The sequence below is a fragment of the Homo sapiens genome, chromosome X (genome assembly GCF_000001405.40).
Source record: "Homo sapiens chromosome X, GRCh38.p14 Primary Assembly".
Taxonomy (NCBI): Eukaryota; Metazoa; Chordata; class Mammalia; order Primates; family Hominidae; genus Homo; species Homo sapiens.
Window position 1 is genome coordinate 9675114 of NC_000023.11, and position 25600 is coordinate 9700713.

The 25600-nt window shown below is 47.8% G+C and overlaps 1 protein-coding gene across 4 annotated transcripts in view, besides 1 other annotated feature; it reads left to right on the forward strand.

Annotated features, from left to right (window-relative positions):
- The window catches only part of TBL1X (transducin beta like 1 X-linked), a 256446-nt gene that overhangs the window by 211819 nt on the left and 19027 nt on the right, over nt 1-25600 (forward strand). For all 4 annotated transcript variants that reach the window (NM_001139468.1, NM_001139466.1, NM_001139467.1 and 1 more), the window contains 7 exons: nt 8930-9075; nt 12904-13162; nt 16466-16598; nt 17000-17141; nt 18036-18099; nt 18209-18306; nt 22256-22316. In NM_001139468.1, coding sequence (NP_001132940.1) covers nt 8930-9075; nt 12904-13162; nt 16466-16598; nt 17000-17141; nt 18036-18099; nt 18209-18306; nt 22256-22316 — 903 coding nt within the window. The remainder of the gene's footprint in view (nt 1-8929; nt 9076-12903; nt 13163-16465; nt 16599-16999; nt 17142-18035; nt 18100-18208; nt 18307-22255; nt 22317-25600) is intronic.
- Nucleotides 7331-7831: an enhancer, noted in NCBI's record as "H3K4me1 hESC enhancer chrX:9650484-9650984 (GRCh37/hg19 assembly coordinates)". NCBI's record gives its function as "activates a minimal SCP1, AML or CMV promoter by ChIP-STARR-seq in naive H9 embryonic stem cells {active_cell/tissue: H9 hESC(naive)}" and the evidence as "EXISTENCE:reporter gene assay evidence [ECO:0000049][PMID:30033119]".

The following is a 25600-nucleotide window of genomic DNA, read 5'->3' on the forward strand; positions in this document are numbered from 1 at the left end:
CAAGAGAGTACTTGAATGCAGCAGTTGTCACCTTTTCTCCAGCAGCTTGAGAAAGGGCATAGAGTGCTATCTGAGCTGGATTTGAACCAGAAGTTTTTAGGCAAAGTAAGAAGAGCACTTCAAGAAAAATAAAGAGCAAACCCCAGCATTTTTGAGGAGAATGCGCCATCTTGGTGATGCGGACCTAGGACACATGATGGCAGGAAGGAGGAAAAGATGCTGGCAAGTAGGGTTAGTGGCACATTAACACCAGCTGAGACACGGGAACCTGTCCAGTTAGAAGCCGTTGATTCATTGTTGAAAGATAAAACTGGATGTAGTGTGAGTAAAGGATGACCTGCCTGCTTGGTGAAAAATTAGTAACCACAGAGGTGGCTGTCAAAACCAACCAGCAACCAGGGAAAATGCTTATAGTGTGCTAGGTAAAAGAGAACAGGGATACAATATTCTGTGACCATGATGATTATACATAGAAATTAAGACGCACAGGCCAGGCGCGGTAGCTCACGCCCAGCAAGTAATCCCAGCACTTTGGGAGGCCGAGGCAGGTGGATCACCTGAGGTCAGGAGTTCGAGACCAGCCTGGCTAACATGAAATGAAACCCCATTTCTACTAAAAATACAAAAATTACCTGGGCGTGGTGGCATGCGCCTGTAATCCCAGCTATTCGAGAGGCTGAGGCAGGAGAATCGCTTGAACCTGCGAGGCGGAGGTTGCAGTGAGCCGAGATCATGCCATTGCACTCCAGCCTGGGTGACAAGAATGCAACTCTGTCTCAAAAAAAAAAAAAAAAAGAAGAAAGTAATTAAGATACATAGAGAAAAGGGACTGGAAGAAATCCCCCAATGTGAGAACAGGAGTTGTGTTGATTGTTTAACAATGTGAGTTAATTTCTCCATCTTCCAAATTGCTTTCTCTTATATTCCCAAAGTCATATCTTGACTTTTGTTTGAGTGTGATTTGCAATGGTGCTATCCGTCGTAAATCTCTGGTTTAGCATTCATGCTGTCTTCCAATTTCCAAATATTGAATCCAGAATTCATGAGTGTTCCAAGGTGCTGGAGACCACACTGTAGGGCTGGAGGACATGAGCGTCTCTGCACCTAGCTCTTCCTAGTAGCTGACTTGCAGCAGGAGCTGAGGCTTCTCCTGGCATCACCTCCACTACAATTCTCTGTGAGCATTTCCAGGAAGCAGCACCCCCTACCCTAGCCGAGGCCCGTCCAAGGTTGTCTCGTTGTCCTAGCCCGCCATTGCCCTGGGAGGAAGTAGCCACATGAGTTTATGGCCTGAGTAATGCTTTTCCCTCCTGGATGCTCCCCACATCTAGAGGATATGAAAATAGTCTTGGCAAGGGTGCCTGGTCTGCGCTTGTCAGCGGCCTGAGCTGTATTCAGCCACCACCCTTGGGGTCCAGGCCAGATGTTATGGCAAAACCGTATTTTAACGAGATCCTTCTGGTATTTCTTTTGGACGCCGTCCGAGGCAGCTTCATTTTACGCTAAATTCCATGTTATGGTGGGTCATCTCAAACAGGTCTGCAGCGCATAAAAATGTTCTCACTGCACTCTGTTTTCTGTAGCAAAATGTTGTTGGAGGTTAGGATGGGAGTTGAGGACTGGGCCTTGAGGGTTTTTTTCATATAAACACATTAAAATGGAAAGCTGATATGAACACGTTCAGTGATATAGACTGCAAAGGCAAAAAGAATTCTCCCCAGCATATTTTTTTTTCTTTTTACCATGGATGTAATTGGAGTTTACATATGATAAGAACTGCTTCTTGGGCAGAAAATGTAATCCTCTGGTGAGACTAATCCATCATTGTTGAAGTGAAGGGAACTGGTAGTGAATTCGCCCCACAGATGAAGATAGGATTTCTAATTCCCTCGCCTTTTCTGTTTACTGTTCCTAACTCCGTGAGAGTGTGCGTGTGTGTCTGTGTTTTCTTCACCATTTGATTTTTCATCCCGGCTCCCACTTCCTCATCCTTGGCCTCTCTCGCATCTTTATTTTTATCACACCCTCCCCACCTCCACCACCTTGTCCCAGCACTGAGAGGAAAGTGGGCAGCTTTCCAGGCAGCTGCAGTCCTGCTGGAGAAACCTTTATGATCCAGGAAATATTGACTGAGGAGAAGCTGTGCTGACTCCGCTATGAATAAGGAGGTTGGAAAACTGTCAGCATTTGCAGAAACAAAAGGAAGTGCTACATATACGTTTTGGTTTCATAATGACTGTATTGTAAAACCCCTTCTCTTTAGCCTACTAGATTGGACAAGTGTGTTAACCAGTGGCTGTTTGGTATCCATTGATCATAGAGCTAGACCAACAACCAAAGTTGTTTACCTCTCATAAGGTGGCTTTTGCAGGCGTGCCAAAATCATATTATGAAACTCCCAGCCACAAATTCTGACATGTATTTTCACTTCCTATCCAATAAGGGATATCCCCACCCCTTTACTCCCCGACTACTGTAGTCATAAAGGTACACTCCTAGTTCCTCCCTCTCTCTTTCTCAGCTTCTCGGTCCCTGTGTGTGATAAGGTTTCTTGTTGCCCTGTGTGGCATGGTGTGGCACGCCCCAGCATACTCCCTTCCTTGGGAACTGAGTAATAAATTCTTTCAATGGCATTAGCCTCTTTGTGTTGTCACTCAGTCACCTCCATAAATTAAAACCCTTCAGGTTTTGTTGGCACTGTAAGGTAATTTATTTTCTCTACATAGGATTTTAGAATTGAAAGGGACCTTGTAGATCATTGAATTCCACCTGTCCATGGGTCAGAAAAGGGAGCTGGGGAAACTGTTAGGGGGCAGATCCAGGCCTTGGAGCACCTGGTTAAATGTGTTCTCCCCATAAGCCTAAGAAATGGTACCAAATTCTTATGTCATTGCATCCAATATGGTCCTTCCTTCTTTCTTCTCTTCTGTTTCTTTCCTTTGCTCTCAAGACTGGTGTATCACTTTGTCTCCCAGGCTGAAGTAAAGTGTGTTTGTTATATTGCAGTGGTTTTTTATTCGTATTATTATCATCATATTGTTTTTTGTTGTTTTTTTCTGGATATTTTTGATCTGTGGTTGGTTGATTTGGTGGACGCAGAACTATCGGATATGGAGAGTCAACTGTATATAAAATCAGGTCAGCACACTTTTCCTGTAGAGGAGCAGATAGTAAATATCCTCAGCTTTATGAGCCATGTGGTCTCTGTTGCACCTACTCAACTCTCCCATTGTAGTGTGAAAATAGCCATAGACAACACATCAACTCATGGGTGTGGTTGTATCTCAATAAAACTTTATTTACACACACTGGCAGTGAGCCAGACTTGGTCTGTGGGCCTCAGTTTGCAAGCCCATGATCTAGGCAATGCACAGATAGCAGATGGTGTCCCTCAGCTTTGGATAGCTGTAAGTATTACAAGTATGTGAGTCTGTTAAATACTTAATAAAAATTCCAGTTTTAATGTTACAAATTGATACCCTTGGTATTTGTTTTAGCTGAAGATGCAAAACCAACTCCACAGCTGCCTGAGTATTAAATTCTACTTTTCTCTGCCAAATAAGCAGTATTTCTAAAGGCCAGTGATTGATAACTTAGCAGATTTTGCTGATGAATCAGGCCAACATTAGCTGAGCATAGTAGTACACTGTATAACTCAAATGGTTTGTGAAGTCATTTGTGAGGGGTGTGGTTTAGCAGTGTCATAATTGCAAGAAACGCAATACATGTACTTGGTTTGTTTTAAATGTTTATGTTGCCTAGTTAGATGAGACAAATTCTTATACAGACTGTTTCCTCTCTTGTGAGACTATTACACGTTTTATTCCAAATGGACAGGACTTTACATGGAAGATCCTACCATCCTTTATAAAATGTCATCCTTTGTGTAAGCCTTTCAGTTTATCATGATTATACTCTTTTTTTTCTCCCTGGGAATAATTTTACCTCATCTGGTTATGCTCTGTTACTGTGTGTTATGTTATCTAAGGTCTATGACCAATTGCATGCAGAGGGTGGCTTGCTTTTCAATAGCAACAACCAAGAACCAAGCAGAAATGTAAGGAGAGTAGAGCTGGGGGTAGTGGCCTTTCAGGGTGTCAATTCCCCAACCATGGTGGGGTTGATGGGACAATATTGGAAACATTTTTGGTTGTTACAATGGGAGTGTGCTACTGGCATCTAGTGGGTAGAGGCCGGGGGTGCTGCTCAACATCGTACAATGCATGGGACTGTGTCCCCCACAGCAAGGAATGAGCCAGCCTAAAAGTCAGCCATGCTGTGCTTGAGAAGCCCTGCTGTCAAGAGATTCATCAGGAATACGCCTCCTAAGTAGGTGGCAAGCCTAGCGTCTTCAGGAATGTCTCTAGGCTAGCCTACTGGTGACACCAAGGACACTAACCCATCACCCTCACACGATCTTTCATCGAGGTACCACCAAGCTCTTTGTTCTCCTGCCCTTTAACTACTTCTGCACCTGCCGCAGGGGCAGTCCTTGGTGCTTCGTTTATCATTGACATTCTGGTCTTTGTTCCTACGGATGTCTTGTTGGGCAGAAGAGATGTGTTCAGAGATGCGGGAAAGCTGAGGAGGCACAAGGCACCGAAGTCTCACCACTCTGGCAGACTGCATATGAATGTGCCCATTAGCCCTGGAGTCCAAGTGGGAGGGGTGAGATGCTGGCAGGTGTGGAGGCAGGCATTACCTTCCGCAGCACCCTGGCACCTGGTTCTGGCAACTGTGGCCTAAGAGGAAGTGGTCAAGCAGCCTCTAGTACATAGTCCTTGGGCATTGTCTTAGTTAGTATGGGCTATAACCAACACCTTAGACTGGGTAATTTATATACAACCAAAGTGTATTGCTCACAGTCCTGGAGGCTGGGAAGTCCAAGATCAAGACGCCAGCAGATTTGGTGTCTGGTGAGGTCCTGTTTCACATGGATGGCTCCTTCTGTGTCTTCACATGGTGGAAGGTGCAGGGGAGCTTGCTTGAGCCTCTTTTATAGGGACACTGATCCCATTCACGAGAGTGGATCCCTCATGATTTAATTGCTTCCTGAAGGCCCCACCCCTTAATACCGTCACTTTGGGGATTTGTCTCCCACATACAAATCTGGGGGGGACACAAACATTCAGAACGTAGCAGGCATCTTCCTGTCCCAGAATGAATATCAGAACTAGCAAATATCCTAGCAGCCATTTCATCTGACATCCTTATTGTTCCAACAAGGAAAGCTGGGACAGCAACCTTTCCACTCACTGTGGTCTCCTCTCCATCAAATGTGTTGGGGGTCTGGCTGCTGTCCCATCTATGTGTCTCATCAGCACCTCAAGGTACTTTTTATCCCTATATCACAGAGGAGGAAATGCAGGCCCAGCCAAATGAAGCGACATGGGCCAGGCACCAGTGGCAGAACGAGGACAGAACCCAGCCATCCTGCCTGCTGCTGACATTTTCTCCATCCAGCCCTCCTGCTTGCCTTCATGAGACCACATGGCCAGAAATCAGTAAGAAAATCTTGCAAGCAAATGGACTGAAAAACCATTGCTCTAGAGGCCATGTAGAGATCCATTCAGAGAAATGCAGCTAGTGAAAATTTCAGCAAATAGGAGGACTTCTGTTAACCATGGCATGGAATGCACATCTCCCAGGTCTTTATGAAGGTGCCTAATTTCCAGTCATGACCTACCCTCTCCAAAAGAGGACCCAAGCTGATGAAAGACCTTCGAGGTACCCCTGTAGAACTTTATCCTGCACATTTGTCATTGTGCATCTGCACAGGATATTCCTTTCGGCAGACGACTTTCAGCTCTTTGCAGAAGTCTCAGACGCCACATCCTTAGTCCATCTTTACTGGTTCATCTCTTTGTTCCAAGAAGACTTAATTGAATGTGGATACTGTTGTCCACACGATCTAGAAATGAAATCTGTGTTGGAGAGCATAATCATGTAGAGAGATAAAGTTATACAGCCAAAACATGTACTCAACATTAAAAACCCAGATGAGAGAGAAATCAAGGGCACACTCCCTCCGTGGGTTAGACTGAGCTTTGCACACCGTTCTTTGTGAGTTGCCTGAGCTGCACCCACGCTGGCTGCTGTCCAGAGCTGCCAGTGGTCTAGCTGAGCAGCCAGGTGGAAATGGAGTCTGTGTCCATGCAGGGAATTCAAGAATTTTGGTTCCTGTGCTTGTGGGTGGGTCTTGGAGTGTAAAGTAAAAAGCGGAATCTCGGAGTCACATAGTCTACGGTTCACAGTTTAGTTCAGCGTCATATCACATGATCCTTGGGCGGGTTACCTGATGTCTCCAATGTTTGTCCTTATGTGTGAAACAAAAACAGTACCAACTCCAAACAGCTGCTACAAAGACTGAGGTAGTGGACAGAGTGCCCAGGTTTGGTTGAAGATGGTAATGTGGTCAGAATCGGCTCTGTTTCACAGAGCATGTGACTGCAAGTACCAGTTCTGTGGCCCAGTGCTGCTTGCGGGAATGAATGAGTCAGAGTGGATGAATGAAATGTCCCAGGAGCACGAGACTTTCCTTCCACAATTGCTCCATCAGCCATGAGGTTTGCTTGTCAGGTGCCGTCATCAGCACATAATGCTGCATTCTGGTGCATTCAGTAGATGTTTCTAGATACTGTTTCATGGTGGCTAAGAGTGGTTTCTGGCACCCAGGCTTAGATCTCAGCCCCACCCCTACAAACTGAGCAACAGGAGGCTGTCAGTTACCCTCAAAAGATCTCAGAGACTGATTGATCAAGGGGAAAGCGGCAGTGACAGAATGATGCTGAGAAGCTTGAAGCCATTTAGTAGGAGCCACGTGAGTGGCCCCCATCAGCCGTGAGAGTCATGATGTCTATGAGAGAGGAATCACTGTGGCCCAGAGTAGATAAGGAAGATTCCATGTAGTGGATCGTCAAGCCAAGAATGCAGTGAGGTCCCGCTTTATCCATTGACTGGGGTTTTTCTCTTCCACACTTTGCCAAAGACCTCAATGATAAAAGCTTGCAGGTAAAACTCTGTATAGCATTGGCAGAGAATAGAGTCGTTGGTGAACCCAAGGGTGGGTTGCTTCATTTTGGTAGGAGTGGGTAGGAGAAAAGGAAGGTGGATAGAGAGAAAGCAAGTTAGAAGGAAAAGGTAAGGTTGTTGTAAACAGCCTTGGCTTATATCCTCCAAAAACACAGGGGCGGAGGAACCCTTGGGGATAGGGGAACCTGGAAGGGCGTCCTTTGGAACCTAATGTAGGCAGTTATAGTTCTGTAAAGAAATATGCAAGGCTCTGTGCAATTGATTGTAAAATTAATAGCAGCTACCCTATTACTCTGTTAGATAAATCTCAACTACACATTTGATATGTTCTTTACAACCTGGCGGTGGGGACAGAACAGAGGGTGGATTGAGGAGGAGGGAGAGTAGACAGAGAAAAGTGAAGTGTAAGAAAGCAGCAAGGAGAGCACAGCGCAGAGCTCGTCTCCTGGAGGAACATTCCCATCTGGTGAGCGTTTTGTTTATTGCAAGGTCAGTTTGCATTTGGATAAGGCGAGGCAGAAGGGCACTGATACGGAAGCAGAGGGAAGCCGGCTGCCACTGCCCCTCATTGGCTGAATGAAAGGCGGCGGAAGAGGAGCACCTGTCCAGCAAGGCTGACAGTCCTGCCTCCTGGGATAAGCAGATTCTCAGCCTGCAGAGTGGTCTAACCAGGGAGGTAGAGTGGCTGCTTTCCGAACTCCCTGCTTCCTGCTCATTTGCCTCATGCATGGAAGTTGTAAACAGTGTGAGAGTTGAAAGCCACACCATGGGAATGCCTTGGTGTCCACCCCACCTGTTGCCAGGAACCGAGCACTGGGGGTCCATGTTCCTCACACGAGATCCCCCCATGATGTCCACCTCCCAAGGATTTCAAGCTCCTGTGCACCCTCAGGCCGCCTCTGCACCAAGCAAAGTGACCCAGCCCTGCCAGGCGGGGTTGCCTGTTTTAGGAAACTCCCTGCAGCAGCCTAGGCTTGCTGGCAGTGGGATGCCACCTCCCTCTCTCTCCTTGATGAAGGGCTGTCGCAGCTTCCTCATCACCCCCAGACCTCCACATAGATGCCCTGCATCATTGCCTTCTTTCCTTGAAGCAGGCGCCATCCACAAGAGCAAGGCATGGCTTTCTGTGTATTCGGTCCTGACCCCCTTCCCAACAGCTTCATTCAAGAGCCTTCATCCAAAGCTGATCTGAAAACACCTTTAAATTGCCAAGCATCATTGATAGCAGCTTCCTAGAGCGGCAGTGAAAGAGATGCACTGGGGGAGGAGAGGAAAAGAGCCAGCATCAATTAGCAAAGAGAAAATTCCCAGTGTTTTGAGAAAATGACTCAGTGCCACACCAGTCAGTCCAGGACGGCCTCTTCTCCGTCTTCAGTTGTTGAGTTGTGATACACTTGCCCCGCGTGCCAGGAGGACTCAGGGTCAGCGTTTGCTGTTCCCTCATCTTGGGCTGAAGAAAGGTGCCCTGTGTGCTTTCAGGGGGTGACACAGAGAGGCTTCAGCATGAGCTTCTGCACAGTCTTACGAACCACGGAGTTTTGGTGGGGAGCCTGGAGCCAAATTTGAGTAACAGAAATGTCCAACCGGGGCATGCAGGGCAAACTATTGTCTGTTCTGCTTTGTTCTTAATAACACTGAAACGGTTCTACCATTTAAGTCCCTTGTTTCATCACATACCAATCCTGGTCTTCCTGGGTCTGAAGTCCCTCCCTCTCTCCCTGCCCTTTCCCACCTTACTGAACCCAAATCAGAAGCATCCCTGGGCATTCTGCAGCCGTGTCTGTCCCTGCAAATTAAGTGTGTTTGAAGTCTGCGGGCCACCTTCAGATCTCAATGGCTGCACCTCCCTCCTTCAATTCGGGTCTCACTCAACCTCAGCTTTCCCCTCTTGCCACAGGTTTTTCCCACTCGGCTTTCACGTTTGGGATTGAGAGCCACATCAGCCAGTCCAACATCAATGGGACGCTAGTGCCACCGGCCGCCCTCATCTCCATTCTCCAGAAGGGCCTGCAGTATGTAGAGGCCGAGATCAGTATCAACGAGGTACGTAGCTGCTGGGCCCGGCCCCCAAACAGCAGAGCCCTGGGAAGCTGCAGGAGCTTGGAACACATTGGAAGCTAACATGCATTTCCCTCAGGCATTTGGGATTAATTCCGCGGCAGGGTGCAGTGGCTCATGCCTGTAATCCCAGGACTTTGGGAGGCCGAGGCAGGAAGTCTACTTGACCCCAGGAGTTTGAGACCAGCCTGGACAACATGGTGTAACAGCATTTCTACAAAAAACAATTTTTTAATTAGCCCAGTGTGGTGGTACGCACCTGTAGCCCCAGCTCTCGGGAGGCTGAGGTGAGAGGATCAGATCACTTAAGCCTGAGAGGTTGAGGCTGCAGTAAGCTATAATTGCACCAGTACACTCCAGCCTGGGCAATGCAGTGAGACTCCATCTCTAAAATTAAAAAAAAAAAAAAAAAAGGAAGAAGAAGAAAGTAAGTTGGGTTCTTTTCCACTTTGTGTTAATACCGGTTGTGTGGACACACAGCAGCAAGCTTCCAGTGCCCCTCCCACATGGCTCTGTGTTTTTGACTTAAATGTAGAATCACTGGCTGTTAGTTGATGTAAACACTTACACCGCCACATCTGAAAAAGATACGGCAGATCTTCAGCTGCTCTGGGCTTCGGAGTGGACGTTTGCCTTGCACTTAATGCAGACTTGCTGTCTCTTCTTGATTTCTGGAGCAGGTTGGTTAGAGAGGGGCCCCACACATGGTCAGGTGGAATCTGTATTTCAGCAGAACCCGGCAGAGGGCATCACCAGAGGCTGCGTCAGGGCAGAGAGGTGATGGCTCTGGTGTTAATGAGGATCTCAAGGGATGCCTTCATTACCGGGCTCGTTGTAGAGCAGATGGGGTAGGAGGATGGAAAAATAAATGCACATTAAAACTGTGCACTTGGCTTGGAACCCCTCCCACTTTTTACATTGGTCCACAGTGAGGAGTTGTGCCAATTTTATACCAATTTTGGTTTTAAACCACACACCTCACCCTCTCTTGTCCCCTCCTATTCTGGTCTCATGATTCTGCAGTGAAGATCCCCTTGACTTCTGGGGAATAATGGGATCCACAACCTTTCTTGCCGCCTTCACCTGAGTCCCTATTTTATTTTTAGAGACTGAGTCTCACACTGTTGCCCAGGCTAGGGTGCAGTGGCACAGTCATGGCTTACTGCAGCCTCGACCTCCTGGGCTCAAGTGATCCTCCTGTCTCAGCCTCCCAAAGCACTGGGACCACAGACAGTCCCTGTTACTGATTTCTCAGTCCCCTGCAGCTTCCTCCCTCTGCTTCTCTTTCTCCTACTCTGACCCAGGCGCGTGATTCTACTGAACTTTTCCATACTGTACCGTCATCCATCCCACCTGGCAGTCACATTCTTCCAGGATTCCCTCTGTCCCGTCTTTCTGGGAACTGGTCTTGCCCTTACAAACCTTTCTCCTTCACAGCATGTTACACTGCTTTAAAAAACTCTTTTAGAAAATCACAAAGTAATAATATCCTGTTCTCTTTTTCTTTTCTTTTCTTTTTTTTTTTTTTTTTTTTTTTAAGACAGGGTCTCTCTCTGTCACCCAGGTGGGAGTACAGTGGTACAATCATAGCTCACTACAGCCTCAACCTCCTGGCTCAAAAGATCCTCCTGCCTCAGCCTCCTGAGCAGCTGGAACTTATAGGTACACACCACCACGTCCAGATAATTTTTTTATTTTTTGTAGAGATGAGGTCTCGCTGGTCTTGAACTCCTGGGCTCAAGCGATCCTCCCGCGATCCTCCCGCCTTGGCCTCCCAAAGTGCTGGGAGTACAGGCGTGAGCCACTGTACCCAGTCCCTGTTTTCTTTCTTGCACTTCTGCCTGCCATTTTTCGCAAAGCTGTGGCTTTCGAAACTCCGGTGTTTTTTCCTCTCTTGTGCTCCTTTTTCCCTGGCAAACCCCTTCACACTGTGTGCCCGGGATCTTCCACTGACTCCTTCTGGCCCTGTCTAGTTTCCTCACTGCAAAACACACACGTGTGTATCTAAGAGGACATGTCTCCAAGGTCCAGCCAGCCATCAGATCTCAAGGCGCCTGTGACTCTGTTTTTCTCTGCTCATTGCCTTCTACCTCTCATCTGTTGAGAAGCCTTCATAGTTGCCTTCCCTCGGCACTCCAGATTCCAGCACTCTAGGGGCTAATGAAAGACTGTCCCATTTGTCACAATGGTTTCTAATCATTAAAAAGTGAGACGCCAGGGGCGGTAGCACACATCTGTAATCGCAGCACTTTGGGAAGCCAAGGCAGGAGGGTTGCCTGAGGCCAGAAGTTCTAGACCAGCCTGGCCAATATAATGAGACCCTATCTCTACATAAAATAAAAAAAATTAGCCAGGTGCAGTGGCACATGCTCGTAACCCCAGCTACTCGGAGGCTAAGGCAGGAAGATCAGTTTGGTCCAGGAGTTTGAGGCTGCAGTGAGCCATGACTGTGCCCCTGCACTCCAGCCTGGATGACAGAGCGAGACCCCGTCTCTAAGGAAAAAAGAGAGACAGTGTGCCCGCGGAGTTTAAATGAGGACATGTTGTTACTACTTTGGACAGTTACCGCGTTTTGTCATGGGCTTGTTCATTTGGGTGTGAACATATGAAGGAGGAAGGGGGTGTGGGAGCGTCTTGACCCATCGGTCACCATTGTCCACTCCATGGCCAGAATCAAGGGCCAAGAGTGCCTGAGGAGGTGATGCAGCTAGTTCTTTACATAGGTTGTATTGTTTTCTTTATTTTGAATATTGTCTTGTAATCAGAAATCATCTGGAGTGATGTTTCATTTAGTTATTCTTCAGCTGAAACCTGAGCCTTTCAGTTCTTCCTCACTTCTGAAGTAATTCAGGTTCAGAGCATATAAACATGTGTTTGCACATCCAGATACAACCCCAAGGCTTACTGAGGTTCACCTGATTCGAATATCTGGCGTGTTTCACAAGGAAAGAACCTCCTGCTGTATTTTTAAACGTGTGTGGAAAGTTTTCCATGGTAAACGGAAATCAGAGAATCAAAGAATGGTCAAAAAAACATGAATCAAAACAAAATGATGTCAATTGTGTCATGGCTATGGTTAGTCTAACCCTGAACCCAAGGAGTCATTTCAAGTAGCAGCAAGTGCCTATTTTATTAAATCCCCTGGACAGATGGACTTGGAATCCAGGCCTAAATGCTGTGTGCATCTCATTTGGGCTCTGCTTCTGAAGCGTTACCCTCCCATATAATGGATGGTCATTTGCAGAGATTTTGCACAGTCGCGATAGCACGTGGGCAGGTCTTCTCCACCGCAGCACTCAGTATTTGGGGCTGCGTGTTTCTCTGTGGTGGGGCCATCCTGGGCACTGTTGGATGTTGAGCAGCGTCCCTGGGCTCCACCCACCAGATGCCAGGAGCACCTCTCCTCCCTTAGTTGTAACAGCCAAAAAAGTCTCCAGACGTTGCCTAATGCCCCCCAAGGAGTCACAGTCACCCCCCGCCCCCGCCACGTTGAGAATTGTGCCATCAGGGATAGCACTTTCTGTCAAGAATAAATGGCCTTTTTGTCCTCAATGCCCCAATTGGGTTTGACACTCAGAACAACCATCACACTTAGTTCTTACCAACAGTTTGTCGTGTCCCCTTCCCTGCCCACCGTGGGATCCCTTCACCCCAGGCTCCAGGTCCATGCCGCTTCCCCCGTGGCCCCCTGGTTGCTGGGAGCCAGCTGTTTACGCCCCACTTCCCTGCGCTTCTCCTGCCCAGAGAGCAGAGGCCATTCCCAGAGCCCTCACCCCCGTGAGCTGACAGCTGTACCTTGGCTTGCTTCCCCAGGATGGCACAGTGTTCGACGGCCGCCCCATAGAGTCCCTGTCACTGATAGACGCCGTGATGCCCGACGTGGTGCAGACGCGGCAGCAGGCATTCCGAGAGAAGCTCGCTCAGCAGCAAGCCAGTGCGGCGGCGGCGGCGGCTGCGGCCACGGCAGCAGCGACAGCAGCCACCACGACCTCAGCCGGCGTTTCCCACCAAAATCCATCGAAGAACAGAGAGGCCACGGTGAATGGGGAAGAGAACAGAGCACATTCAGTCAGTGAGTGCAGGGGCTCTGGGAGTTCGGTGGGCCTCTCTGGGTTCATTGTTTTCTTCTTGGGCAAATCCGAATGCCTTCTTAAAAACCTGCCTGCTATAAATGTCTTAGAAGCTGCTCTCTAGTGTTTGCTTACGATCTGGCCGGAAGAACTTCCCGTTCCATTTTTTCCATCACAACCCTTGGACCTGAGCTTCTTCACCCTCATCTTCAACTTTAGGAAATCGTGCTGCGCCTGCTAATCTGAGAACTCTCATGTAACACATGATTATTGCCCGTGATAAACAAAAGTGTTTCATTCATGGACACCTTTAGTCTCAGCCTCCAGCCTTCCATGTTGAGGGTTTTTGGCCAAATTATGGTATAATTATTGAGCTTGCAGTTCCTGCCAAGGGCACTGGGCCCCAGAGACTGGGCATAGGCTTATTTGGTCTTTGCAAAACCCCAGGACATCAGTCCCTGTTAGGTGATTGCCTGTGAGTATGTGGCCAGTCAGAGAGCCCAAAATTCTACCCAGAGAACCTGCTCCACTTAGACATACTGCTCTATACACCCGTAGGGACGCCACTTCAGGGTGCAAGTTCAGAGCGAGCATATGTGCCGTGCATGGCGCACCGTGTGCGCGCATGCACTTGCATGCACAGGTATGCATGGGTGCATATGTATGTTGTACATGTGTATATCTGCATGTGTATGTGCCTGTGTCTGTGTGCAAGTGTGTATGCATGCGTGTGCGTGTATGTGTGCGTGTGTGCGTGTGTGCGTGCACGCGTATATGCGTGTGCGCACCTGTGTTCCTGTGCGTGTGTGTGCACAAGTTTGTGTGCGTGTGTGTGCGCACGCACGCACACCTGTGCATGGTGTAGTGTATGTGTGTGTGTTCTTCCTTATTTGAAAGTTGTTGCCCTCGGAGCAGCCATGCAGCCCAGCAGTCCTTGAAGATCGAGCTGACTATGACGTTGCTGTCTTACCTGGTACGTCTTGGCTCCACAACTTCCTGGTGTGTAGAGAGCCAGCCGGCTGCCTCTGATGAGGCTGCAGCCCGAGCCAAGCCCTGTGACAAGTTACCATCCACAGGCACCAGCTAAAAAATTCTTGGAGAAGCAGATCCAGCATTTAATGGAAGGTTCACAGATTGTTAATAACGTTTCTATTGCAATAGGGTGACAGAAAGGCCACCTGCCTCAGGTAAAAGGAAAAGACCTCTTACCAGCCTTCTATTGATAAGGTCCACAATTGTGGGGCAGGAAAAGAAGAGTCTGGCCCTCCTCCTCTGTGCATGTGGCCAGAGTTCACCCTGGTTGAACTTCTGGAACAGCCACCCCAACCCCCTTCTCAAACCCTGCATCTTGTGCCTGACCCACAGCCCAGTCTATGGAGACAGGAGCATTGGAAGGCCGCATTTTGATAAGAATGAAAATACTGGCTGTCACTCCTGCCTGGAGTTACCAGGCCCCCTGCCACTGCGTGGCTGGCTAAGATGCCAGTTTCCCTCTTGCCATCACCAGGGACAGTGGGTCTGCCACATGCAGAAAGATGTTTTTCCTCTCTTCCAGCCAGATGACACTTTCAGAGCATGGAAGAAACACCAACATTGAAGAGTCCCATTGTTGTTTGAATCTTTTGTATCAGGCTTCTCGAGCTAAGCAGGACCACCAGGCGTTTTCTTATTTTTTACATAAACAGCACTCCTACTCAGTGACACGTAACCTAAGATCACATTGCTTCTGTTTCCTGGGTTTTCCACCAGAGCACCTTTACGAAAGACATATGACAAAGCATGCTCAATTCCTCACCGTATTGTGAAACTGTTAACCATGGCTAATTGTTTGATGATCAGGCTATATTGCTCCTTTCTCAGGAGCATAAACCAGGGTCTAGCAAACTTTCTTTACAGGGACAGACAGTAAATGTCCCAGGCTTTGAGGGTCATGCAGTCTCTGTCACAGCTGCTGAAGTCTGTCAGAGTGCAAAAACAGCTGTGAGAGTCAGCTCAGGCTGCCGTAACAAAAGGCCACACACCAGGCTGTTTAAGAATTTGCTCTCACAGTTCTGGAGGCTGGAGGACCAAGATCAAGGTGTGGGCAGGGCTGGTTCCTTTGCGAGGCCTCTCTCCTTGGCTTGTAGAGACTGTCTTCTCTCCATGTCTTCACGTGCTCGTTCCTCTGGTTGTGTCTGTGTCCTGATCTCCTCTTCTCATAAGGACACCAGTCCCACTGGGTTAGGGCCCACCCTTGTGACCTCCTTTTACCCTGCTCACCTTTTCAAAAGCCCTATCTCCAAATACAGCCACATTCTGAGGCCCCTGGAAATTGGGGCTTCAAGATATGAATTTTAGGGGGACATAGTTTAGCCCATAACAGTAGCCATAGACAATTTGAAAACATGGGCAGTGGCTGTGTGCCAGTCACACTTTATTTATGCAGAAGCAGCCAGGGACTAGGTTTGGATCATGGGCTGTAGTTAGCTGGCCCCAGTTACAAAAAATAACTGTCACCCAGGCTGGGGTACAGTGGCACAATCATAGCTCACTACAGCCTCAATCTCTTGGGCTCAAGTGATCCTCCCACCGCAGCCTCCTGAGTAGCTGGGACTACAGGTGTGCACCACCAGGGCTGGCTAACTTCTTGTTGTTGTTGTTGTTGTTGTTTTTATAGAGATGGGGTCTTGCTATGTTGCCCAGGCTGCTGTTGAACTCCTGGTCTCAAGCAGTCCTCCCTCCTCAGCCTCCTGAGGCACTGGGATTTTAGGTGTGAGCCACTGCACTTAGCAAACTGTTTTTATTCCTCAATGAAATTTAGAGACTGTCAAAATGTAAAGAAACCTAAAATATTTACTAAATTGCACTAAAGCCACGATTTCGTTAGAATCATCAGAGGTAGGCCGGGCGTGGTGGCTCACGCCTGTAATTCCAGCATTTTGGGAGGCTGGGGCAGGTGGATCACTTGAGGCCAGGAGTTTGAGACCGACCCTGGCAACATGGTGAAACCCCGCCTCTACTAAAAATACAAAAATTAGCCTGGTGTGGTGGCACATGCCTGTAATCCCAGCTGCTTGAGAGGCTGAGGCATGAGAATTGCTTGAACCTGGGAGACGGAGGTTGCAGTGAGCCGAGGTCGTGCCACTGCACTCCAGCCTGGGCGACAGAGCAAGATTCCGTCTCAAAAAAAAAAAAAAAAAAAGAAAAGGAATCATCAGAGGTAGTATTTAGTACATAAAAAAAATGTTTCTGGAAACAAAAGAGCCCTTTAAGTGTGTTTCTCTTGTATTGGTAAGCCACTTGTCTCTTTGTGTTTGCTGTGACAGATAATCACGCGAAGCCAATGGAAATAGATGGAGAGGTTGAGATTCCATCCAGCAAAGCCACAGTCCTTCGGGGCCATGAGTCTGAGGTGTTCATTTGTGCCTGGAATCCTGTCAGTGATTTGCTAGCCTCCGGGTAAGGATGTCAGGGTGGGGGGCGCTCCAGAGTTGGGGAGATGGGAGATGCAAGCTGCTCGCCCTTCTCTGGAGTTCTGCCTAAAGGAACACACACTCCCCTTCTTACCCCGGTGTGTGGGCAGACCAAGGAATGGGTGGCTCTATGAGCCACTTCTCTACATGTCTCATATTGTGGAGAAGCCATAGTTCCAAGTCGTTTTCTCCATGTGGTGGTGAGGAACACAGCAGCACTTAAATTACCAAATGCAAAGATGGCAAAGAGGGAAACAGGGATCCAGAGGGATGAAAAAGACAGAAGAGCATGTGCTGAAGATGCCCTCTGGCCAGAGAGCAAGCTGTGGAGAGCTTCTTATCCCATTTGAACCAAACACCAGAGGCTCCTGTGTTTTTATTCTGTAGATCTGGAGACTCAACTGCAAGGATATGGAACCTGAATGAGAATAGCAACGGGGGCTCCACCCAGCTCGTGTTGAGGCACTGTATACGAGAGGGGGGCCATGACGTCCCGAGTAACAAAGACGTCACCTCACTGGACTGGAATGTAAGCATCTTCCACCCCCTGGGCACTTTGAAATTGGTAAAATCGGCCAGCCACCAGGCAGGGGCTGCAGCAATGGAGCCCATGCAGACATAGGAGGCAGGTGGTCCTGTGTGCTCAGCCCCCACTCTGATGGGCTGCCAGAGAGGTGTTCTTGGCTTCTTTTTTTATTTTGAGACGGAGTCTTGCTCTGTTGCCCAGGCTGGAATGCAGTGGTGTGATCTCAGCTCACTGCAACTTCTGCCTCCTGGGTTCAAGCGATTCTCTTTCCTCAGCTTCCCGAATAGCTGGGATTACAGGCTCATGCCACCACACCTGGCTAATTTTTGTATTTTTAGTAGAGATGGGGTTTCACCATGTCGGCCAGGCTGCTCTCGCACTCCTGACCCAATGTGATCCGCCTGCCTCAGCCTCCCAAAGTGCTGGGATTATAGGCGTGAGCCACTGCCCCCGGCCAGTCTTGGCTTCTAAGAGCTATTAACAAGGCTGCATTTGGCAGGCAGTGAGCTGTGTATTCAGTAGCCGTATCTTTGCACGTGAGCATGCCTTAGCAAAATGAGCCTGTGGCCTCATGGTGGGAAGGTAGGCTGGGAGCCCCAAGGTAGTTCTTCTGGAGAGATACGTCGTGCAGCCCAGGAAAGGTGATTCTCCACCTTGGGATTTCAGCACCAGGTGTTCTGTGCATTGACACATGGGATGCACACAGTTTGACTGCTTTTTATTTTCTGCAAGGTCTTACGATAGCTTTCAGCATGGTATTTTCAATTCTGTCATTAAAGAACACGCAGTGGCAAATGGTTCCAGTGTACCTGGATCCTCGGAGAGGCTCTCCGAGCTGCTTCGGTGCTGCCGCTCCTAAGTTGTTTTTGTGGGGTTTTGTCTCTTTCTGGCCCTCAGACCAATGGAACACTCTTGGCTACGGGTTCATATGACGGTTTTGCAAGAATATGGACGGAAGATGGTGAGTTCTGTGTCCCTCGTGCTGGGGTCGGGTAAGAGGAGCTGCCGAACTTAACCCTTGAGTGAACAGACCATGACATTGAGGTCAACATGTTTGTTTTTACTAACAGGTAACCTGGCCAGCACCTTAGGCCAACATAAAGGCCCCATCTTTGCCTTGAAATGGAACCGAAAGGGGAATTACATTTTGAGTGCTGGTGTAGACAAAGTGAGTATTAGCTGAAAATACATCCCTTTGATCTATAGGTGGTTATATATTTTTAATCTCAAAATAACATCGTGGTTTCTTGGAACTCGTAGGCTTTGTGCTTCCCCTTAAGAAATGAAAATGATTTGTTTAGGCTTTGTTTTTGTGGTTTTGATCTTTCTGTTCATTTGTGACACATCATCTCTTAATATATTCTGCTGTTCTGCAGACCCTCGTGCAAAGCTTCCCTTTATTTGAGGTACATGGTTCAGTGGTAGAGAGAGGACAATCTCCACATTGCATTTGTCAGTTGCTGGAAGGAGCCACGTGGTATGGGGCGTGCCCTGCCTGAACTTGCACCCACTGAGGGGTGAGTGGCACAGGCTGTGTGTGTTCTTCAGGCTTCGGCTTTCCTCATTTGATAAACTGCTGCTTCCCACCGTAGACCGCAGATTTCTCTGAGTAGGAGTCAAGCAACCTGGCTACAAGGGCACGCTCTTCCGATGGCCCACAGAGCCAGGTTAGAATTGACTTGCTCTGCACCTGGGCAGGGCTGCAGGGAGACACGGTAGTGTTAACTCCAGGTGCATGTAAAAGCCATCAATGGGGTGGGAACCCAAGGGCAAAGAGTAAGGGGACGCAGACTCCATCCTGGGCCCGAGTCTGATCCAGCCAGCAACCTCGGCCTCTGTGCATTTCACTTTCCTCACTTGTCCAGCGACAAGGCTGGCTGGAGTCATGAGCGGAGACAGCCTTCATGGAACAGTTGTGCGTTCCCGAGACTCAGCAGGAATTCTAAGTCATGGCTTTGGAAAAGAAGCATTATCTAGAATTGAGAAAAAAAAAAAAAAAAAGACGTGTTTTCACATGAATTTGTGTTTCTACAACAACTGGAAACCATGCCTGAATACTGGAGGATGCTCGGGCCTCCACAAAGCTTTGCATTTTGTGGTGATTTCAGGATAACTTGAAAACTTACTAGGTCTTGAAGTTCGAGACCAGCCTCGCCAACACAGTGAAACCCAGTCTCTACTAAAAATGCAAAACTTAGCTGGGCATGGTGTCGGGTGCCTGTAATCCCAGCTACTTAGAGACTGAGGCGCGAGAATCTCTTGAACCAGCGAGGCAGAGGAGGTTGCAGTGAGCCGAGATTGCGCCTCTGCACTCCAGCCTGGATCTGGAAGAAGAGTGAGACTCTGTCTCAAAACAAAACAAGACAAAACAATACAAAACAAAACCTGAGTCAGAGCTCTCTGTTCTTTCTAGTTCTGAAAGTTATAAAATGATAGAGTTGGCCGGTCGTGGTGGCTCACGCCTGTAATCCCAGCACTTTGGGAGGCCACGGCAGGCAGATCACCTGAGGTCGGGAGTTCGAGACCAGCCTGACCAACATGGAGAAACCCTGTCTCTACTAAAAATACAAAATTAGCTGGGCGTGGTGGGGGATGCCTGTAATCCCAGCTACTCAGGAGGCTGAGGCAGGGGAATCATTTGAACCTGGGGTGAGCCCAGATCGCGCCACTGCACTCCAGCCTGGGCAACAAGAGCAAAACTTCATCTCAAATAAATAAATAAATAAATAAATAAATAAATAAATAAAATGATAGACTTGACCTCTGAACATCATCCCACTTTGGGAGAAATTGCTAAATGAAATAATTGAATTTGGCAAACTGTGGCCCACATAGGCCAAGTCTGGCTCCTCACCTGTTTCTTAAATTTAAATAAAGTTGTATTGGGACACAGCCACACCCCTTTGTTGAGACTTCTCCATGGTTGCTTTCATGCTACAATGGCAGAGATGAGCAGTTGCAAGAGAGACCAGATGGCCCTCAAAGCCTAAAATTCTACTACCTGGCCCTTCACAGAAAAAGTTTGCGGACTCTTGCACTAGGGTATAACTAGGTCAACAAATCATTCATTCATAATTGCTCTCCCTCTCTTTTAAGCCAAGAAACCTTTCAGACTTAGTAGCCTGGTTTATGATATTTTAAAAGCTGAGTTGCTGTGGTTGACACATAAACGTTCTCATGTAGCTACTATCAGATCTTTGCCAAGATGTTCTAATTCAAGTAACATGCATACGCAGCACTTTGCTGTGCATTCAGTAGGCTCTCAGTAATTGCTGCTTGAGTTATTAAAATCACTCATGAAAATGACAGCACTTTTCTTTATCAAGCAGTTCACTACTGCATGTGTTAATCCATCCGGTACTGCCAAGATAGGAGGCAGGCACAAGTATGATCACTCCCATTCTATAGAGGACGAACTGGAGGCCTGGAGAGGGTTATTAATTTGCCTAGGGACACACAGCTGGTGCAGAGTACAGAGGGATGGGAACTCAGACCCTGGTCACCAGTAACTACTGCCCTTTAACTTCCGTAGAATTCTAAATAGCTGTTTGTTTCCTGGCCTCCTTCCTACCTGGAGACTGTTAACATTTGTGATTGTTTTTCTCACTGATTATCAGTCTTAACTCCACCAGGTGATGGACTATGTGATCAGTGAAAATGCATATGTGGAATTATGTTAGTCTCTTGGGCTGGGTACGATCCACCATCATTACTTAGTCAACCACAGCAGGAGTGAAAATAACATCCTTGTACATAACACTCAGGGAGAAAATGTAACTTAGGGGATGCTGGTGTTGACCAACACAGAGTGACTAAAATATATGTCACATTCTTCAAATGTTTGCATAACTGTTTTCTTTTGTCCAATGTACATTTAACATAAACATCAACTAAGAGACCAGTCGCTGATGTAATATGTGAAATGGTATCAGAACTGTGAAAGAGTTTATATATTCTCTGCAGTGTTAGATTTGTTTTTGCATGGCTAAATTAAGAAGAGTTATACCCCAACAAAGAAATGTTAATTGGTCTAGAACTGACCCAAAACCCAGGAGTACCAAGTTTCAAAGACACTCACTGCTTGCTTTCCTCTGAAAATGTCTACAGTCAACACAAAATAGAACTCTTTCTTCTTAAAGCAAAATCTTGACTGAGCGTCAGTAACAGAGAGGTGTAAAGTTTCCAATTAAGTTGAAAATTCCAGTTGATGAAGACGTAACTCCAATGCTATTCATTGAGCTGGTTCTCTATCTTCCTAGCGTCAGTAAATTCATAAAAATTCGTGATTTCCTTTGCTTTCCAAGGGAGAACTCAACCTTTCTACTTACTGTTAGACCAGTACATTGGTGCCTGGCCCCAGTGCAAGCCAATGGCTCTGCCATGTCTAGTGCCCCCATTTCATGGAGGGATGGGCAGAGGCATTTTCAGAAATGCTCGTCTCTGCAGCCCTTCACTTGGAACAAATGCCACAAAGATCTCTGGAGATGCTTTGTTCCAGGTTTTTCAACAGTTTCTGCATTTGGGGATGAGGAGGAATTCCTACCAATTTTGGTAGTTCTTGCAAGTATTGGTTAGGGATGCTCTGTCCTTAAACCCATTTATGCCTAGTTTCCATTATCGGAATGCTGAGCATGTGGGAGTTATTTATATCCTGCTGCTCAGGGTCATCGCCAAGGTCTGATTGCAGAAATTCAAAAAGTTGCAACCTCAGGCATAAATGAGTTAAGGGAGATGCCAGCATATGTGGCTGATAGGTTCATCAAATGTGGCCGTCCAGATTGCTGAGTTTAAAACATGCTGTACTTTAATGATGTGGTATGGGAGAAAAAGAAGGCAAATATCCCAGTAAGGTTTTGATACTGATTACATGTTGAAATGGTAATATTTGGGGGCATGTTGGAGTTAAATATAATAGATTGCTAATGAATTTTACCAGTTTCTTTCTTCTTAATGTGGATCCCAGAAAATTGAAACTAGCCCATAAGGCTCACTCTCTATCTCTATTGGACAGTGCCGGTTTATAAGGAGAAGGGCTGTCTTTTCTTGTATGATAAATGTTTCCAGAGAAAACTTTGCCAGAATAGTTACTAACTTTTTCCTTTGTTTGCGGAACACAGACAACAATAATTTGGGATGCCCACACAGGAGAAGCCAAACAGCAGTTTCCTTTTCATTCAGGTGAGTTTTTTGTTGTTGTTGTTGTTGTTTGTTTTTTTGTAATTCAAAAATAATAATTCAGGTCGAGCCCAGTGGCTTACGCCTGTAATCCCAGCACTTTGGGAAGCCGAAGCAGGTGGATTGCATGAGGTCAGGAGTTCAAGACCAGCCTGGGCAACATGGCAAAACCCATCACTACAAAAAATACGATAACTAGCCAGGCGTGGTGGTCCACACCTGTAGTCCCAGCCACTTGGGAGGTTGAGGTAGGAGGATGGCTTGAGCCCAGGAGATGGAGTTTGCGGTGAGCCAAGATTGCGCTACTGCACTCCATCCTGGGCGACAGAGCCAGACCGTGTCTCAAAAACTACTAATAATAATAATCCAAAATTAGGCTGGGCACTGTGGCTGATGCCTGTAATTCCAGCACTTCGGAAGGCTGAGACAGGAGGGTCACTTGAGCCCAGGGGTTCTAGACCAGCCTGGACAACAAAGCAAGACCCCGTTTCTACAAAAAATATAAAACATTAGTCGGGTGTTGTGGTACACACCTCTAGTTTTAGCTACCCAGGAAGCTGAGGCAGGAGGATTGCTTGAGCCAGGAAATCAAGGTTGCAGTGAGCTGTGATTGCACCACTGTATTCCAGCCTAGGTGACAGAATGAGATCCTGAGATGCCCCTTAAAGTAACTGAATGCGCCGAGTATGGAGCCCAGGAGGCCTCATTGGTCAGAAGGAGACCCATTTTGTGGCAAGCATTGATTGCTCTTAAGGTTTGCAAGATAGAGATGACCTCGGCACCCACCTGCTCAGAGCTCTGAAACACAGCAGTGAGCCAGCCACAGAAGCAGTGCGGGCTCCTTTCTCTTGCTGTTCTAAAGGGATGCTGTTTTGGGGGCTCCCTGAAACCACTCCCAGGATTGGTGGTTTGCTGCGAGGACCCCCAGGACTCAACATACTCACAGCTAAGATTTCTAACAGCACAAGAATTTAGTGCAACATTAGCAAAGGGAAACGGTGCACACGGCCAAATCCAGAGCTTCGAAGGCTCCTCTCCCAGTGGACTCTCACAGGCCATGCTGAATTCTTCCAGGAATAAGTTGTAACTATGCCTGTGAAGTGTTTTATACCAGGGAAGCTCCATAGAGTCTCAGTGCCCAGAGTTTTTATTGGGGGTTGGCCGTGTAAGCACCCAGTGCCTAGTACAAGCCAAAACTGCAGACCCCCAGAAGGAAAGCAGGGGCACAGCATAAACACACTGTTTGCACAAACAAGTGTTAGCAGAGTGAGCCGCTTGCGTCTGTTAGGGGAGGGTGGGAACTCTCCGGAAATCTAAAATCTCAGTCGCTAGCCAAGGGCCGGCCTTGCAAGCAAGCCTCTGTAGGGAGATCAGCCTCGGGCCTGTGGTGTTAGCACCTTCCTACACAGATGTGTGGCCGCTGCTCTGGAGCCAACTACATCCCTTTGTGCACTGGAGCCAGGCCAGGCCACATGCGTTACCCAGGGCTCTGGAGTCTGTAGAGATTCCGATTTTCCAGATTCCCACCTGATTCTTCGTGGGTCGTTTTGGGTTTTTTTGTTTGTTTGTTTGGAGACAGAGTTTTACTCTGTCACCCAGGTTGGAGTGCAGTGGTGCGATCTCAGCTCATTGCAGCCTCCGCCTCCCATGCTCAAGCGATTCTCCTGCCTCAGCCTCCCGAGTAGCTGGGATTACAGGCATGCACCACCAAGCCCAGCTAATTTTTGTATTTTTAGTAGAAACGGGGTTTCGCCATGTTGGCCAGGCTGGTCTCAAACTCCTGACCTCAAGTGATCTGCCCACCTCGGTCTTCCAAAATGATTCTTCATTTTCTTTCCCACCTCCCTCCTCTGTGTAACTCAGTCCTGATGTTAGACGTGGCCTCTTAAAACAAAGACAGATGGCCACCCGCAGAGCTAATAGACTATTGGAAGTCTTTAGACTGGCTTAAAGTGGACAGAAGTGGGTAGGTGCCACTTCCCTTAAGGGCAAATGTCTGATCCGTCTTGAAGGAATCCCTAAATATGTGGGACGAAAGTTAACTATTCTATCAGCTGTCCCTGGGGCATTGTCCAGGAGGAGATCTGAGTGTCTTTCTTGTCATGCAGCTTGGGGTGCTTAAATGATGTTCTGAATGGGAGGGCTAACTGCAACAACCATCCAAGGCAGAACAGCCATCGGCGCCTGGGGAGGGCTCCAGGCAGGGGACATGGGCCCTGCAGGAAACAAGACCATGAACCGAAGGTCCCGTCGAGGCACGATTGTGTTAGATGCATAGGCACCCACGTCTGTTATATTCCATGCAGTACTTCAGCAGGGACTCCTCATACAGGCAGCTCAGAGAGTGAGGGAGACTCAGGGAGGACGCTGTTTCTGCTCTGCTGCCCTGGAGAGGGAGAGCCACTCCTGCACAGCTTGGGACCCACACCAAACACACCTCTCAGGGTTGCCGGTGAAATTTGTTACTGGTGTTGCTTTAATTGACACTGTTGATGAAGGTGCTGAGCATACGAGAGACAAAAGGCTCCCAATGCAGGTAGCACGTGTACTAGGTCCTCCAGAAAGTGTTCTTCACCCCAAAGGGAAACCCTGTACCCATTCCATCTTTCCCTGGCAACTCCACCTACAGCCTGTGATCTGTGTGTCATCTCCATGCCAGACACTTGCTACTCTGTGCTCTAGACTGCAAATCAAAGCAGGTGGCTAGTGAGAATAGCCTTCCTAATGGAGTTCCGTCACGTTTGGCTTAAGTGCCAAAACCTACCTTTGTAGGCAGGAAGGATGCTATGACAGGTTCACAGCCCTAGACACGCAGACCCCGGGGGGTGAGGCAGGGATGTCTAATGCAGAAAGCTCTGGCTTCTGTTTTTCAGAGAAAAATATGCCCGAGGTAAACATCAATAAGGTTCCTCTAACACTTGTGTCTTAAGAATTCATCTGTAAAGTATTTCAGCAGAAAATAATCTTTCCCAAAGTGTCCCCAGGCCCTATGGAAGGGTTTCCTACCCAGCTGACCCAGGAAGACCACAAACCACATTGTTCTGAATTGCGTGAGCTTCTCACCTGTGATCTGGCTGGCCATGAGGTAGACCCAATTCCCGTCGGCAGGTCAGACATATCTAGGCGTTACTTGCTCTCTTTTTGGTGTCAATCAGTGTGTTAAAGAACGTTCAAAATGAAGAGAAAGAAGCTCGCTCTTCCAGGTGAAACGCAGCTGGGAAGAGCTGTGAGGAGCGCCTTTCTGTGGCTGTGGCAGGTTTGGTGTTTAATGGGGCGATAGGAGACAT